General features: G+C 51.2%; 1 protein-coding gene and 1 non-coding gene across 2 annotated transcripts in view, besides 3 other annotated features; both read right to left on the bottom strand.

The window, feature by feature from the left end:
- The window catches only part of DLGAP2 (DLG associated protein 2), a 970,849-nt gene that overhangs the window by 324,109 nt on the left and 633,060 nt on the right, over positions 1-13,680 (bottom strand). The gene's annotated exons all lie outside the window — the stretch shown is intronic.
- Positions 3,492-11,055, bottom strand: LOC105379585 (keratinocyte proline-rich protein-like). Its single transcript, XR_001745759.2, has 2 exons — positions 11,005-11,055; positions 3,492-10,728 (listed from the first exon to the last, which is right to left on the bottom strand). It is a non-coding gene; the product is annotated as a keratinocyte proline-rich protein-like (transcript).
- Positions 6,454-7,396: an enhancer, noted in NCBI's record as "H3K4me1 hESC enhancer chr8:1325138-1326080 (GRCh37/hg19 assembly coordinates)". NCBI's record gives its function as "activates a minimal SCP1, AML or CMV promoter by ChIP-STARR-seq in naive H9 embryonic stem cells {active_cell/tissue: H9 hESC(naive)}" and the evidence as "EXISTENCE:reporter gene assay evidence [ECO:0000049][PMID:30033119]".
- Positions 9,685-10,498: an enhancer, noted in NCBI's record as "OCT4-NANOG-H3K4me1 hESC enhancer chr8:1322036-1322849 (GRCh37/hg19 assembly coordinates)". NCBI's record gives its function as "activates a minimal SCP1, AML or CMV promoter by ChIP-STARR-seq in naive H9 embryonic stem cells {active_cell/tissue: H9 hESC(naive)}" and the evidence as "EXISTENCE:reporter gene assay evidence [ECO:0000049][PMID:30033119]".
- Positions 10,611-11,111: an enhancer, noted in NCBI's record as "H3K4me1 hESC enhancer chr8:1321423-1321923 (GRCh37/hg19 assembly coordinates)". NCBI's record gives its function as "activates a minimal SCP1, AML or CMV promoter by ChIP-STARR-seq in naive H9 embryonic stem cells {active_cell/tissue: H9 hESC(naive)}" and the evidence as "EXISTENCE:reporter gene assay evidence [ECO:0000049][PMID:30033119]".

The raw sequence follows: 13,680 nt of genomic DNA, 5'->3' as shown, positions 1-13,680 counted from the left end.
CTGTGCACCAAGTTCTCAGGGGCCGGGCACAGGCCGGGGTAACTGTGCACCAAGTTCTCAGGGGCCGGGCATAGGCCACGGCAGAGGAGAGTGCAGCGACTGTGCAGTCACAATTCTTGCTTTTTCCAGGAAAGAAATTAAATTCTGAAAATGGCATCCAAGGCCACTTCATCCCTTAACTTTTATGAATCCTTTGGTCACAGTAACTTTCACTTTAAAAAATACAGACCTGGCCTAGTAACCTAATGAATTCTGACCTAATTCTTCTATTAATTGATGCCTAAATAAGTGTATACTGTTTCCCAACGTCTGAATGAGCCAGTGAATAACGAAAACCCCTTTCTTGTTGGGGTCACATATTTTATCACTAAGTACAGACACCAAAACCCCAGACATGCATTTGTGGGTCTCCTTCATGAATGTAACACATCGGAGAAGAGAATGGGAGTGAAATGACCTTCCTGTCAGAGTCCACCGCCAAAGACATCTGCCGCTCTCTCACCCATGAAGAGTGAAGAGATTCATTAGTTTACTCTGCTGGAAAGTGCTCGCTGGGAGCTGCTGGTGGTCATCTGACCAGGAGTTTAATTCATGCTTCTTGTTAATGTCAAGTTAATATAGGCTCTGACGTGGCCATTCTAATACTGCAAAGTTTTCACTGACCTTACAGAGAAGAGCCTCAGCCCTGGGCCAGGTGGACGGCACCTGTCCCAGCCCCAGCCACTAAGGGGAACCATGGAATTGGGATCTGGTCGTTAATCAAGCAGCCTTTGAGCCTCCCCAAAAATACAACACAGGCAGGAAGGCTAAAGCTCCTCAGACCGGTAACGTCGCCAACTGTGTGTCCCTAAACCATTTGCCTCCTTGAGCGAAGGCCTATCAGCCTCCACATCCGTGTTCTTGTGTGTACAAGGCAGGGCTAACACATACCGTACCATTTGACAGAATCTCTGTATAAAAGTCTGAGATTATTAATGCATTTCTCATTCAGGATTGCTGCCCTTTATGTTTTTAGCATCTGGCATGAAGTGGCGGCAGCAGCACTTTTCCAACACCTTTTCCATATTTGAGAATTTGAAATACTGTAACATATTCTCCAAACCTTAGAACTTGATGACTTTCCAGAAAGCGTGTAATTATTTTTTTCAAAATAAAAATCCCTTATTTTTCTCGTTACAAAATTAATGAATATACCTGACAAACTTAATTATAAATTTGCCAAAATAGATAAAGGGGATGATCCCTGCAATGTCACAACATAGATATGGCACTGCCCACGTGGCGATGCACATCCACCTGAGAATACTTACGTCCAAAGATCCTTCGATTTGCGTTCCACAAAAATAAGATGACACCGCATATGCTAATTGTATCAGCCTGATTAATTAACATAGTAAGTATAATTTCTCATTGATTAGGGTCTCTCTCTACACACACACACACGCACACACACACTTTGTATACATACATCCCTTCCATAATTTTAATTGGCTATAGAACTTTTTTGGGGGGGATATACTAAAGTTTATTCAACCAGTCCTCTTTGATGAAGCATTCAATATGGCTTCTGATTTCTTGCTATAATCAATGTAAACTATACACATTTCTTTTGTTTTTTTCCCCTTTGAGACAGGGTCTCACTGGGTTGCCCAGGCTGGAGTGCAGCGGCACGATCATGGCTCACTGCCGCTTCCATCTCCCAGGCTTACACAATCTTCCCACCTCAGCCTGCAAAGTAGCTGGGACTGCAGGCACACACCACTGCACTGCTAATTTTTTAAAAGTTTATTTTTTTGTAGAGATGGGGTCTCACTGTGTTGCCCAGGTTGGTCTCAAACTCCTGGGCTCAAGCAATTCTCCTGCCCCTGCCTCCCAAAGCGCTGCAATTACAGCTGTGAGCCACTGCGCCTGACCGATGATACATATTTCTGCACATATATTCACGCACACTTGCCCTTGAACAACATTGGTTGGAACTGCTGGAGTCCACTCACACGGGGATCTTCTTCCTCCTCTGCCACCCTGAGACTGTGGGAACAACCCCTCTTCTCCTCCTGAGCCCACTCAACGTGAAGACGGGGATGAAGGCCTCTGTGGTGATCCATTTCCATTTAATAAACAGTACATGTATTTTATGATTTTCATAACATTTTCTTTCTCTAGCTTACTTTACTGTATGAATACAGCATGTAATACATGTAACAAACACAATGTGTGTCAGTGACTGTATTATTGCTTAGGCTTCTGGTTAACAGGAGGCTATCAGCAGTAAAGTCTGGGGGAGTCAAAAGTTATATGCGGATTTCTGACTGCATGAGGGGGTTGCTACCACTAAGCCCTGCTTTTTTATGAGGGTCAACTGTGTATTTATTTGATTTTTTTCAAGATTGCATAAATGTAATCTAAAAAACACTGTGTAGACTTTATCATTCTTGGTGCTGGGGTTCAGACAAGAAACGTACATTTTATATTTCCTTAATGTAAATGTGTAGACATGGAATTCCTATCTGAATGGCTACGCTCACTTTGAAAATGTGATACAAACACACACACACACACACACACACACACACACACACACACACTAGAATAACCCTCAGATTTACTAAGGAAGAAAATCCCAGCATTCACGGCAACGCGATGGAGCTGGAGGACATGATGCTGAGTGAAATAGGCCAGGCACAGAAAGGCAAACACTGAGTGGCCTCACTTACTTGTGGAACTAGAAAAACCCAGATTCCCAGAAGCACAGAGTAGAAGAGTGGGCGCCAGGGCCCAGGGAAAGCGGAACGGGGAGATGCTAACCAAAGGATATAAATTCAAGTCACAGGATGGGCAAGGTCTGGGGCTGCACCGTCCAGCCTGGATGAGGACAGGTGTGTTAATTTACCCAGTTGTGGTCATCACTGCACAAGGTGCACAGACATCAAATCATCATGTCGTACTCCTTGAGTACAAAAGAGTTACGCTCAGTTCAAATTGCCAAACTGGCCCACAGAAATGTTTAATAAGTAAGCAGGAACCGTAACGGCCCATTTTTTCATGTCTTTGCTAACATTGGCTAGTATTAATCTTTGCCAATCTGTCAGCCAACAATGGAATCTTGTTTTCATGGGCACACATGGAATTGGTGGTGAGGTTAAATGTCCTTCACGGTCTCTGCTTGTTTCTGGACATCCTGGGGAAGCACCTGTTCTGGTTGCTTGTCCAGCCGTGTTCACGTATGAAGCCTTTTCCGTCGGTTACGAACAGCAACTCCTCACCATGCGCCGTGACCTTTATTTTTAATTGGCCTCTTAAGTCTAATTTTGATTTAGAAAGGAACTCCTTATATTATTTAAGTAAAATATAAATATAAAAATATCAAATGTAAAGAATAACCTTTTTCCTTTTTGGCCTTTTGGGTGTTTTTTTTTTTTTTTTTTTTTTTGAATCATGTTCAAAACATCCTAACCGGTTCTGAGATGATACAAATGGTCACCAAAATCATATTTTGCAATTCTTATGGCTTTATTTTCTTAAGTTTAAACTTTTAGTCTCCATGGAATTTAATAAGATAAGGTATTGTGAGTTCAATGTCACTTTTTTCGAAATAGCTATCCCTGTGTCCCAGTTAATACCAATAGTCATGACTTTCGCAAGCGTGTAATTAAAGAATTTTTCAAAGTAGCTCAGTGCTACAGAGAGTCCCCAGTGAACATGACACCTCGGCGAACTTTTAATTTCAGAAGCAATTTGGAGTAAGATGTGGTCGGGTGTTCATGCTGATCCTTCATGTGGACTTTAATTCACGTCGCTTTGTAACCAGGTGAGATGCAAAAGGCCCGCACACTTTCTCAGAAAAAAGCCTCGCTTATCACAAGTCTTTTGTGCAGCTGAGCATCTCTGGCAACTGGAGGGGTGAGTTTTATGCACGAATTTGTGCTTTTCCAAAGTCTCCTTAGTTCAACTCAATGGTGACTGAAATGCTTCTGAAGTAACCTGCGATTTATTTCATAATTTCTGGAGACGGCTGCTTCCGTTAACCAGGTGCAGGTAATTTGCGGTGCAGGAAGTAACAAAGCCTGAGCTCCCGTCGGTGCCAGCAGCCCCACACGCACAGCAAACACTCGCGTTCATGTCTCTGCAAAGCGCTTTGCTGCCTGAAGTGCTGAGAGACACCCTTTTGCACATTCGAGTACTCTTTTCAGGATTCCTATGTATGTTCATTTGAAAGTGTTTATTGAACTACTGTTACAAACCAGCGGCTTGGCTGGGACATAAAAGAGAATGAGACCCAGAACAGGCAGCCCCTGCCCCAAGGACACAGCAGTGGGCAGAGCAGGCATCTCCTGACCAGGGTGCAGATGCTGGGATGGAGCCGGGCTCAGAAGAGAATTGAAGAGAGCACCCCCAAAAGAGCAGGCCCCCACCGAGCAGGAGGGGAGGGAAGGGAGGGCACCCCAAAATCAGGCCCCCACCGAGCAGGAGGGGAGGGAAGGGAAGGCACCCCAAATCAGCAGGCCCCCACCGAGCAGGAGGGGAGGGAAGGGAGGACACCCCGAAATCAGCAGACCCCCACCAAGCAGGGAAATGGGGTTGTTGGCCACTCTCTGTCAGCCCCTGCACAACCTCCCTTCTCCCAGGCACGGTTGCCATGCCAGCCTCAGTCACTCACGGCACTGGGGGCTCCTGACGTTAAGTGCGGGGTCCCTGCCAGTTAGAAAGTAAACTCTTTCAGGGCCTGGACTGAGTTTTCCCAACTCTATGTGACAAAGACTTCCAGGGACCTGGTTAAAAATGATGACAGCGGTTACGGTTCTTACAAGAAGAGACTGAATATGACGCCTCAGTATACACAGCAGGGCGCATGGTGGCTCGGTGAATGAGTGAAGGAAGCGGGAGGAGGAAATTCGCCATGAGGAGAGGCCTCGGCAGACGGAGGCTGCCTTGGTCTGAGGTATTTAGTCTCCCTGCCCGTTTCTCCACCTCCTAGATAAGGGATGTCGGCGTACGTGCCGTGTGGGGCGGCTGTGCCAGGGACATGACTTAGCAAAGACGCGGCTCTTAGGCCCATGCCTCGCACTGAGCTGGTGACTTAGCGAAGATGTGGCCCTCGGGCCTGTGCCTGGCACAGAGCCGGCACTGCATGGACGTGAGCTAAAATTTGCGAAGGCAGGAGGACTCGGGCTGATGGCAGCGGGTGGCCCCGTGAGGCTGACGTGCCACAGTCTAGGCAGGGCTCAGGGAAGAACTGGCCTTGTCTCCTCACCTAGCTGTGCATTTCCTGGTCTTGTAGCCATAGAAGCTAACTAAGCCTTTTTGGGAAAGAAATTGAATTTTTTCATTTTAATTTAAAAAGAAGCTTTATCCATAGCCCAATGTCAGCCCAAGGGGACACATGCTGTGGTGGACCCTATGGGGCTAAGAATGAGCTACCCTGAGCTAGAAGTGATTGACTGTTTTAACAACTTGGAGGCCAAAGGACAGGGAAGCATGAGTGTTGAACCCGCCGACCACACTGCCCTGAAGGGGACGGCACAGACTCCTCAGAGAAGAGAATCAGGATTTGAAAGAATCTGGGGAAATGAAGGAAACGCCAGAAACTGCATAAGGAAAGACTGAAAAAGTGAGAATGTAAATTAGAATGAAAGCAAAACGTGTGACTTTCCAAAAATGAGGGTGATGAAAGCACAGAGGAAGATGGAGCCTGTCCCCGCCCAACCCATGTGTGCAGGACGGACAGATGAGGCCAGGTGTGCGCAGGACAGACAGGTGAGGCCAGGTGTGAGCAGGATGGACAGGTGAGGCCAGGTGTGCGCAGGACAGACAGGCGAAGTCAGCTGTGTGTGTCAGGGACAGGTGAGGTCAGGTGTGCGCAGGAAAGACAGGTGAGGCCAGGTGTGTGCAGGATGGACAGGCGAAGTCAGGTGTGCGCAGGATGGACAGGTGAGGTCAGGTGTGTGCAGGACGGACAGGCGAAGTCAGGTGTGTGTGGCAAGGACAGGTGAGGTCAGGTGTGTGCAGGACAGACAGGTGAGGTCAGGTGTGTGCAGGACAGACAGGTGAAGTCAGGTGTGCGCAGGACAGGTGAGGTCAGGTGTGTGCAGGACAGACAGGCGAAGTCAGGTGTGTGTGGCAAGGACAGGTGAGGTCAGGTGTGTGCAGGACACACAGGTGAGGTCAGGTGTGCACAGGATGGACAGGTGAGGTCAGGTGTGCGCAGGACAGACAGACAAAGTCAGACATACGGCATACGTGCAAGGGACAAGTGAGGCCAGGTGTGCACCTGCGTCCAGATATCTTGAGACGGGTCACTTCAGCAGGAGTACAGTGCAAGTCAGGTCTTGGGGCAGCTGTCTGATTCAGTGGCTGCTGAGAGGGACCAAGCCTGAGGGTGTACGGCAGCCAAAGGCCCTGGGGGAGGCTGCGTCTGCACAGGGGTGCGTGAACTCCATCAGCTGATTTGGGGCTGCCACCCCCAGACAGACGAGGTGGGTGCAGCTTCGCAGAAGAGACACAGGCTCCAGGCCTCCCCTCGGGCACACTTCCGTGCCTATGCTCGGGTTCTGCACGGAGCTGGATTCTTACATCACAAAGGTGAAAAACATGAAGAAGCTGTGCTGGACCAAGAATACCAGAGCTGACAATATTATATGGTATTGGGAGGAGACAGGAGGGAGCTGCACTCAGATCCACTGACCCCCACGCTGGCAAGGCCCTCCTCACAGGCCCTCAGGGCACACTGGGTTCTGACAGGCTGGGGTATGTCCTCTGCCTCCCAGCTTCACCTTTCCTGGGATATGAAGACCTGTGCATCTTTATTTTATTTTATTTATTTTTTTGAGTCGGAGTCTCGCTCTATCGCCCGGGCTGGAGTGCAGTGGTGCGATCTCAGCTCACTGCCAGCTCCGCCTCCCAGGTTCACACCATTATCCTGTCTCAGCCTCCAGAGTAGCTGCGACTATAGGCGCCTGCCACCTCGCCTGGCTAATTTTTTGTATTTTCTGTAGAGACGGGGTTTCACCATATTACCCAGGATGGTCTCGATCTCCTGACTTCGTGATTCGCCCGCCTCGGCCTCCCAAAGTGCTGGGATTACAGGCGTGAGCCACTGCGCTCGGCCGAAGACCTGTGCATTAAGCAGCCCCCTCCTGGCTGGCCCCAAACACCTCTGCTGCCCTAACCCTACAGCTGCACACCACTGACCTGGAGGGGCCAGGTAGGGACAGGTGCTGTGGGGCTGGGCCCCGAGGACTTCCTCTCGCTGGGACGCACACGCCTATCTGGAAGCTCCCTGCAGAAGTGGCAGGCATCTCACTGCCCTATTCTAATGTAAGCAGCCAGGGACCGCGCACAGTAACTGACACTGTGGTTCTGCTGAAGCATGTGGTCCCTGATGCACTCTGTTAATTGCATGGTGTGATTACAAATCAGTTCCCATTCCTTCAGAACTGCGTCTGCAGAAGGGGCCATGACAAATCCTTCGATGTGGGCCTTGCTCTGAGGCCATTTCCTACCCGTGCACATTTCGCTTTCACGGCCAAATACGCTTGCAGTAGCAAGAAGAACCCCACCTGCGGACCACACATCCCACCGGGCTCAGGTTGAGGGTCTCGGTAGCCCTGTCCCCGCCATCCGCCGATGACCACACATCCCACCGGGCTCAGGTTGAGGGTCTCGGTAGCCCTGTCCCCGCCATCCGCCGATGACCACACATCCCACCGGGGTCAGAGTGAGGGTCTTGGCAGCCCTGTGAGCTGGCACGTCCCTGTCACCCGGCTCCCCACTGCCACCCGGCTCCCCCTTCTTCAGCAGGAGGAGAGCAGCTTCTGAAAGGGAGCGTCTTCTTCTGAAAGCGCCTCAATTGTACCAGCACGGCCTCCAGCTCCGTCGGAGCTCTGAGTTCTGAAGCGCAGGTCAGCCCAGCTTCCAGGCTGATTCACTGCCACCAGCAGGTGGGCACAGAGGCCATGCAGCGGGGCGCTTTTCAAGGAAGCTCCTCTCTCTGCAGGCCCCCGTGGCCGATGCTCTCTAGAGGGACTGCGGTGCACAGGAGCTGGCTGATGGAGTGAGAAGAAACGGCACAGAGACCTGGTTTGTCTCCTAGGAGGTGGCTCACAGCTATGAGACAGCACGTCCCGGGCCCTTCACCCACAGCTGGGCTTCAAGGACTCTTTCTGAGTTTACTGCCTCATTCTGATTCCTTTCATGGCTGATGTTTGTCTTATTTGAGAAACAGCCCAAATGTAGGAGGTGGGGGCTCAGTTCTGAGGTCGTGGAGAGGTGTCGTTAACCCAAATGTAGGAGGTGGGGGCTCAGTTCTGAGGCCGTGGAGAGGTGTCGTTAACCCAAATGTAGGAGGTGGGGGCTCAGTTCTGAGGCCGTGGAGAGGGGTCGTTAACCCAAATGTAGGAGGTGGGGGCTCAGTTCTGAGGCCGTGGAGAGATGTCGTTAACCCAAATGTAGGAGGTGGGGGCTCAGTTCTGAGGCCGTGGAGAGGTGTCGTTAACCCAAATGTAGGAGGTGGGGGCTCAGTTCTGAGGCCGTGGAGAGGTGTCGTTAACCCAAATGTAGGAGGTGGGGGCTCAGTTCTGAGGCCGTGGAGAGATGTCGTTAACCCAAATGTAGGAGGTGGGGGCTCAGTTCTGAGGCCGTGGAGAGGTGTCGTTAACCCAAATGTAGGAGGTGGGGGCTCAGTTCTGAGGCCGTGGAGAGGGGTCGTTAACCCAAATGTAGGAGGTGGGGGCTCAGTTCTGAGGCCGTGGAGAGATGTCGTTAACCCAAATGTAGGAGGTGGGGGCTCAGTTCTGAGGCCGTGGAGAGGTGTCGTTAACCCAAATGTAGGAGGTGGGGGCTCAGTTCTGAGGCCGTGGAGAGGTGTCGTTAACCCAAATGTAGGAGGTGGGGGCTCAGTTCTGAGGCCGTGGAGAGGTGTCGTTAACCCAAATGTAGGAGGTGGGGGATCAGTTCTGAGGTCGTGGAGAGGTGTCGTTAACCCAAATGTAGGAGGTGGGGGCTCAGTTCTGAGGCCGTGGAGAGGTGTCGTTAACCCAAATGTAGGAGGTGGGGGCTCAGTTCTGAGGCCGTGGAGAGGTGTCGTTAACCCAAATGTAGGAGGTGGGGGCTCAGTTCTGAGGTCGTGGAGAGGTGTCGTTAACCCAAATGTAGGAGGTGGGGGATCAGTTCTGAGGCCGTGGAGAGGGGTCGTTAACCCAAATGTAGGAGGTGGGGGATCAGTTCTGAGGTCGTGGAGAGGTGTCGTTAACCCAAATGTAGGAGGTGGGGGCTCAGTTCTGAGGTCGTGGAGAGGTGATGTTAAGAATCTAATTTCCTGGAGATGAACAGCACCTCAGTAGCATGCTCCCCAGTGACCACCTGCTGTCAGTGAGGACAGCGCCCCGGCTGTGGTATTGGGCTTGAGATCGACCACCTGCTGTCAGTGAGGACAATGCCCTGGCTGTCGTATTGGGCTTGGGATCCCACTCGTGAAACAGGCGAGTCACGGAAGACGAAGTGCCAGGCCGTGCGGCACCGGAGTCCCACGCACAGTTGCTTTCCTGAGTGGCCTCTGCTTGGACCGATTCGGACTGAAGCCTTGACGTTAGGTGCCTCGGTGCCCTGCAGGATTTCCACCGTCCAGTCTCCACTTTATGCATTTTGATAATGCAAAGTAAAACAAAGTCAAAAAGGATGAATAATTACAGAATCCAAACGACTCAGAAATGAACTTGGAGTTCAAATCTTTAACTCCTACATTGAGGCAGATTCTCCGTCTGCCACATGGTTACATCACAGGAAGGATTTTTAATTTTCAGAGAATCATAAAGCACAGCCTGAACAAATCCACCTGAATGCCCTTTGTTAAGTAAATTGGAGCGAACAGAAGCCTCAGAACTCCTGCTGCTTTCAGAATGACTCTGGTGACCTTTTGCGCAATCATCCTACAGAGAAGGCAAAATCAGCTTTGGTCCAAGAACAAAAGTTGGTCTTGTAATCAGGGAGCTGCCTCCCTGCTGAGGTCACTGGACCCGTGCCGAACATGGGTGTTTTGCGGGCTGCATGGGACCACCGTGGGGCAGGGAGAAGGCCCCACCTCCACCACACAGCCTTCTGTAAACCTAACGTAACCTCCATTACACAGCCCTCTACAAACGTGACCTACCCTCCACCACAGCCTTCTGCAAACCGACCCTAACCTCCACCACAGCCCTCTGCAAACCTAACCTAACCTCCACACTACACAGCCCTCTGTAAACCTAACCTAACCTCCACCACACAGTCCTCTGCAAACCTAACCTAACCTCCACCACACAGCCGTCTGCAAACCTAACCTAACCTCCACCACACAGCCCTCTGCAAACGCCCCACCCCTCAGCTTAAACCTCAGGTTGCATTTTGTGATCTATTGGGTTACAATAAAGAGAAATTACCGACTATTCAATTGGGATAACTTTTTTCAAACAGAGAATGCCCGTTACACTCATTCCATTTGTACCGCGCTTCATGTACTGTGGAGAGCATTCTCTGCGGGTCTGTGATACACATATGACCTCCTAGCGGGCAGCAGGGTAGATTCCGTGCATTGAACCTGACCTTCCTTGCAGGCTACGTTTGTGTGTGAGAAGAAGACACGGGAAAGGCACGTCCCTGAGCTGGAGAGGCCACAGCGTTGTGTTGATTAAGCTCCTAGTTGGTGGACGCCCCATGGATGTGGAAGGACTTCACTGATGATCGAGACTGGAACCCCTTCAGCGAGAGGAAGCGAGGTTTGGGTAGAGAAAGCGCCGCTGTGGCCACCTCACTGGTGAAATGATCTCACTGAACGTTGACAAAAACCATTCTCTGGTGAAGAGAACAATTGCCCACTGCCCTCTTTGTGGGCAGACGTGTCCACAGAAACACAAACCTGATCCCGGATTCGGGTCTCGGCCGACACGGCTCTCTGTCCGGCCCCCCGTCCTTGTCGGGCAGGAAGCCCGGGGACGCAAGCGGCACAGGGCTCTGCGTCTGGCGCTGCCCAACCTGCGGCCACGGTCCAGGCGCGGCGCCTCCGGAAGGGCCCGCCCGTCAGCTGCCGCCCGCGGCCCCTGCTCCCGACACCCTCCGGGCCGCACGCGCGTGGCGGCGGCGCCTCCCCCCGAGGGGCGTGGCTTTCTCCAGCACAGAGTCTTGCTGCGCAGTCACTCAAGCAAACGGCAGCAAATGCAAACGCTCCAACGGCCAAAGCAAATGAGACCCATGAAGACGCCCCCGCCCCACATGCTGGCGCCCCCCCAGGCACGGAGGTCTCGGGGTCATCACTCACCAGCGAAGCCTCCGCACTCCAGAAGAAACAACAGGAGGAACGTGGGTGTTCTTCAAGGACGGCTCAACTATGAGCGAAACTGTCATCTTGCATAGGTGGCCACGTAGGTGGCCATAACCCCACATCCCTTCACTGACACATGGAATAACACACTCAGAGTGCCCCGTACGGATCTTTAGACTGAATCCCTAAGATTTCACAAGGAAGAATGAAACACAGCTGAAGGAATTCTGGCATTGAAATGAATTTGATGTGGCTGTATCTAACGCCATGTTCGCTTGGGAAAATATACTGCCTCTATTGCAGTACAATTAATAAGAGTTTAATGATGAAACACTGGAAATATATCACAGTTTTATCTCTCTCTGATCTTCCTCTAGCCCACGCCGTCCATGTCCAACTTATTGAAGAGCATTGAGATAACTGGCTTTGAATCATCAGACAGGTCACTCTGGAGAGCGGCTTAAAGTCTTTGCACCTCTTTCACAAAGAGCTCCTGGCATCTAGCAGGCAGCAGCCAGTGATGCTCCTAAAACCCTGCAATACACAAGACGGTGCCCATGAAGAGGAATTATGCAGCCCGGACGTCAGGAGAGCTGAGGGTGAGAAGCCCTGCTGTGGAGGGGACTCGCACGACATTTGTCTTCCCCACACCAGGAGAGGGAGGAGTGAGGGCAAGACGGTGTCTGCTTTGCTCGCCTGCAGAGTCGGCCCTCGGTAAGTGTTGGAAGCACATTAAACAGTGTCCTAGTGTTGGCAGCACGGTGACCAGCGTCCCAGCGTTGGCAGCACGGTGACCAGCGTCCCAGCGTTGGCAGCACGGTGACCAGCGTCCCAGCGTTGGCACCACGGTGACCAGCGTCCCAGCGTTGGCAGCACGGTGACCTGCGCCCCAGCGTTGGCGCCACGGTGACCTGCGCCCCACCCACCCTATCACCTGTGTAGGTGCCTGCAGGTGAGGGCCCAGGTCCCAGAGCTGTCCCCAGCTGCCCACCCCATCACCTGGCAGGTGCCTGAGCAGTGTGTGCCTCAGGCCCCCCACCTGCACAGACAGCAGGCTGCACCACTAAGTTGACCTGCAGCATTGAAATGCCAAGTCTATGTTCATAAGAAACTCTTTTCTGTTCTCCCTGGCTCTCTTTTCAGAGAAAAGTGGCATATTGAAAAGGGCCCTGCACTCTGTCGCTGATCTGTGTGATGCCAGACTCTGTGGGGCCCAGCTTCCTCATCCTGAAATGCAGAATAGTCAAGCCCACTTCCAGGGTGAGTGGACAGTTCCACGATGCACGTGGAATATGAGAAATGCACAAATATCCACTTCCCCTCTCAAGTGGCGATGACATGTGAGCTAAAAGCCCTGCCACAATTCTATTCTTCCAGCTCAGCCCTGAGATGTCCTGTTAGCAATGATTTATTCACCTCAAATTTCAACATCCAGTTTCATTACCATCAAATTTAAGAAAACATAAAAGATCTTCAAATTCCTTCTTTTCCAATCAAGTCACGGGAAGTGAGAGGATAATAGAGTTCTGCAGAAGAGATTTCCAATTACAGAAGCCACAAACCACCACAGCATATTAAACCTGCAGTGACTGGGCAGCAACGCGCTGGGCAGAGCACCAGCCTGAGTCATCCTGCCTTTCTGTCCATCTCCCATGCCTGGAGTCCAGGAACCACGCCTGACTTCTGCCAAGCGGACAACTGCTCTGAACCTCTGCCCTGGCGCAAATGCCATCCACGAGGATACAGCACCAGCCAGGTCCAAGTCAGGAAATGAGTGAGTTACTAGAAATAGAGGCCGAATGAAAGGCTTACGGCTAAAGACAGCATCCGTTTAGTTCCCCTCAATGCCTGTCTGAGGACTGCTGACCAGGTGCTGAGACTGTTAATGCATACAGGACGGAGGCAAAAGAAAGACGTGTCTTACTCTCTTCCTCGAGGAGCTGACACATGCATCTGGGAGGCAAGAAACATGCAGGATGGTTTATAAAAGCAATGACAGTGCCTCAGCCAGGGCTGCTTCCAATGACAATTAATGCAATCATATTACACGAATGGTATTAGAAGTGGCTGACACATAAACTACTTACTATCCATGGTGTAAAGCGCTGTTCTAGGCGCCTAACATACAGATGAACTTATTCAAATTCTATCCATGGTGTAAAGCCCTGTTCTAGGCACCTAACACACAGATGAACTTATTCAATCCTTACAACAGTCCTGTGTGGTGCGTTACTCATCTTTTATGCCCAATTTAATGATGAAGAAACAGAGGAGTGGAACTTGCCCCAGGCCAGGCAGTGGTAACCCTCAGAGCCTGGGTGCCGAGTCCGGCTCCTACATACACCAGCAAAGCAGAGAAAGAGAATGCAAGAGTGGAGCGGTTGTCTGGG

The sequence above is a fragment of the Homo sapiens genome, chromosome 8 (genome assembly GCF_000001405.40).
Source record: "Homo sapiens chromosome 8, GRCh38.p14 Primary Assembly".
Taxonomy (NCBI): Eukaryota; Metazoa; Chordata; class Mammalia; order Primates; family Hominidae; genus Homo; species Homo sapiens.
This window is presented reverse-complemented; position numbering and strand designations above follow the sequence as displayed.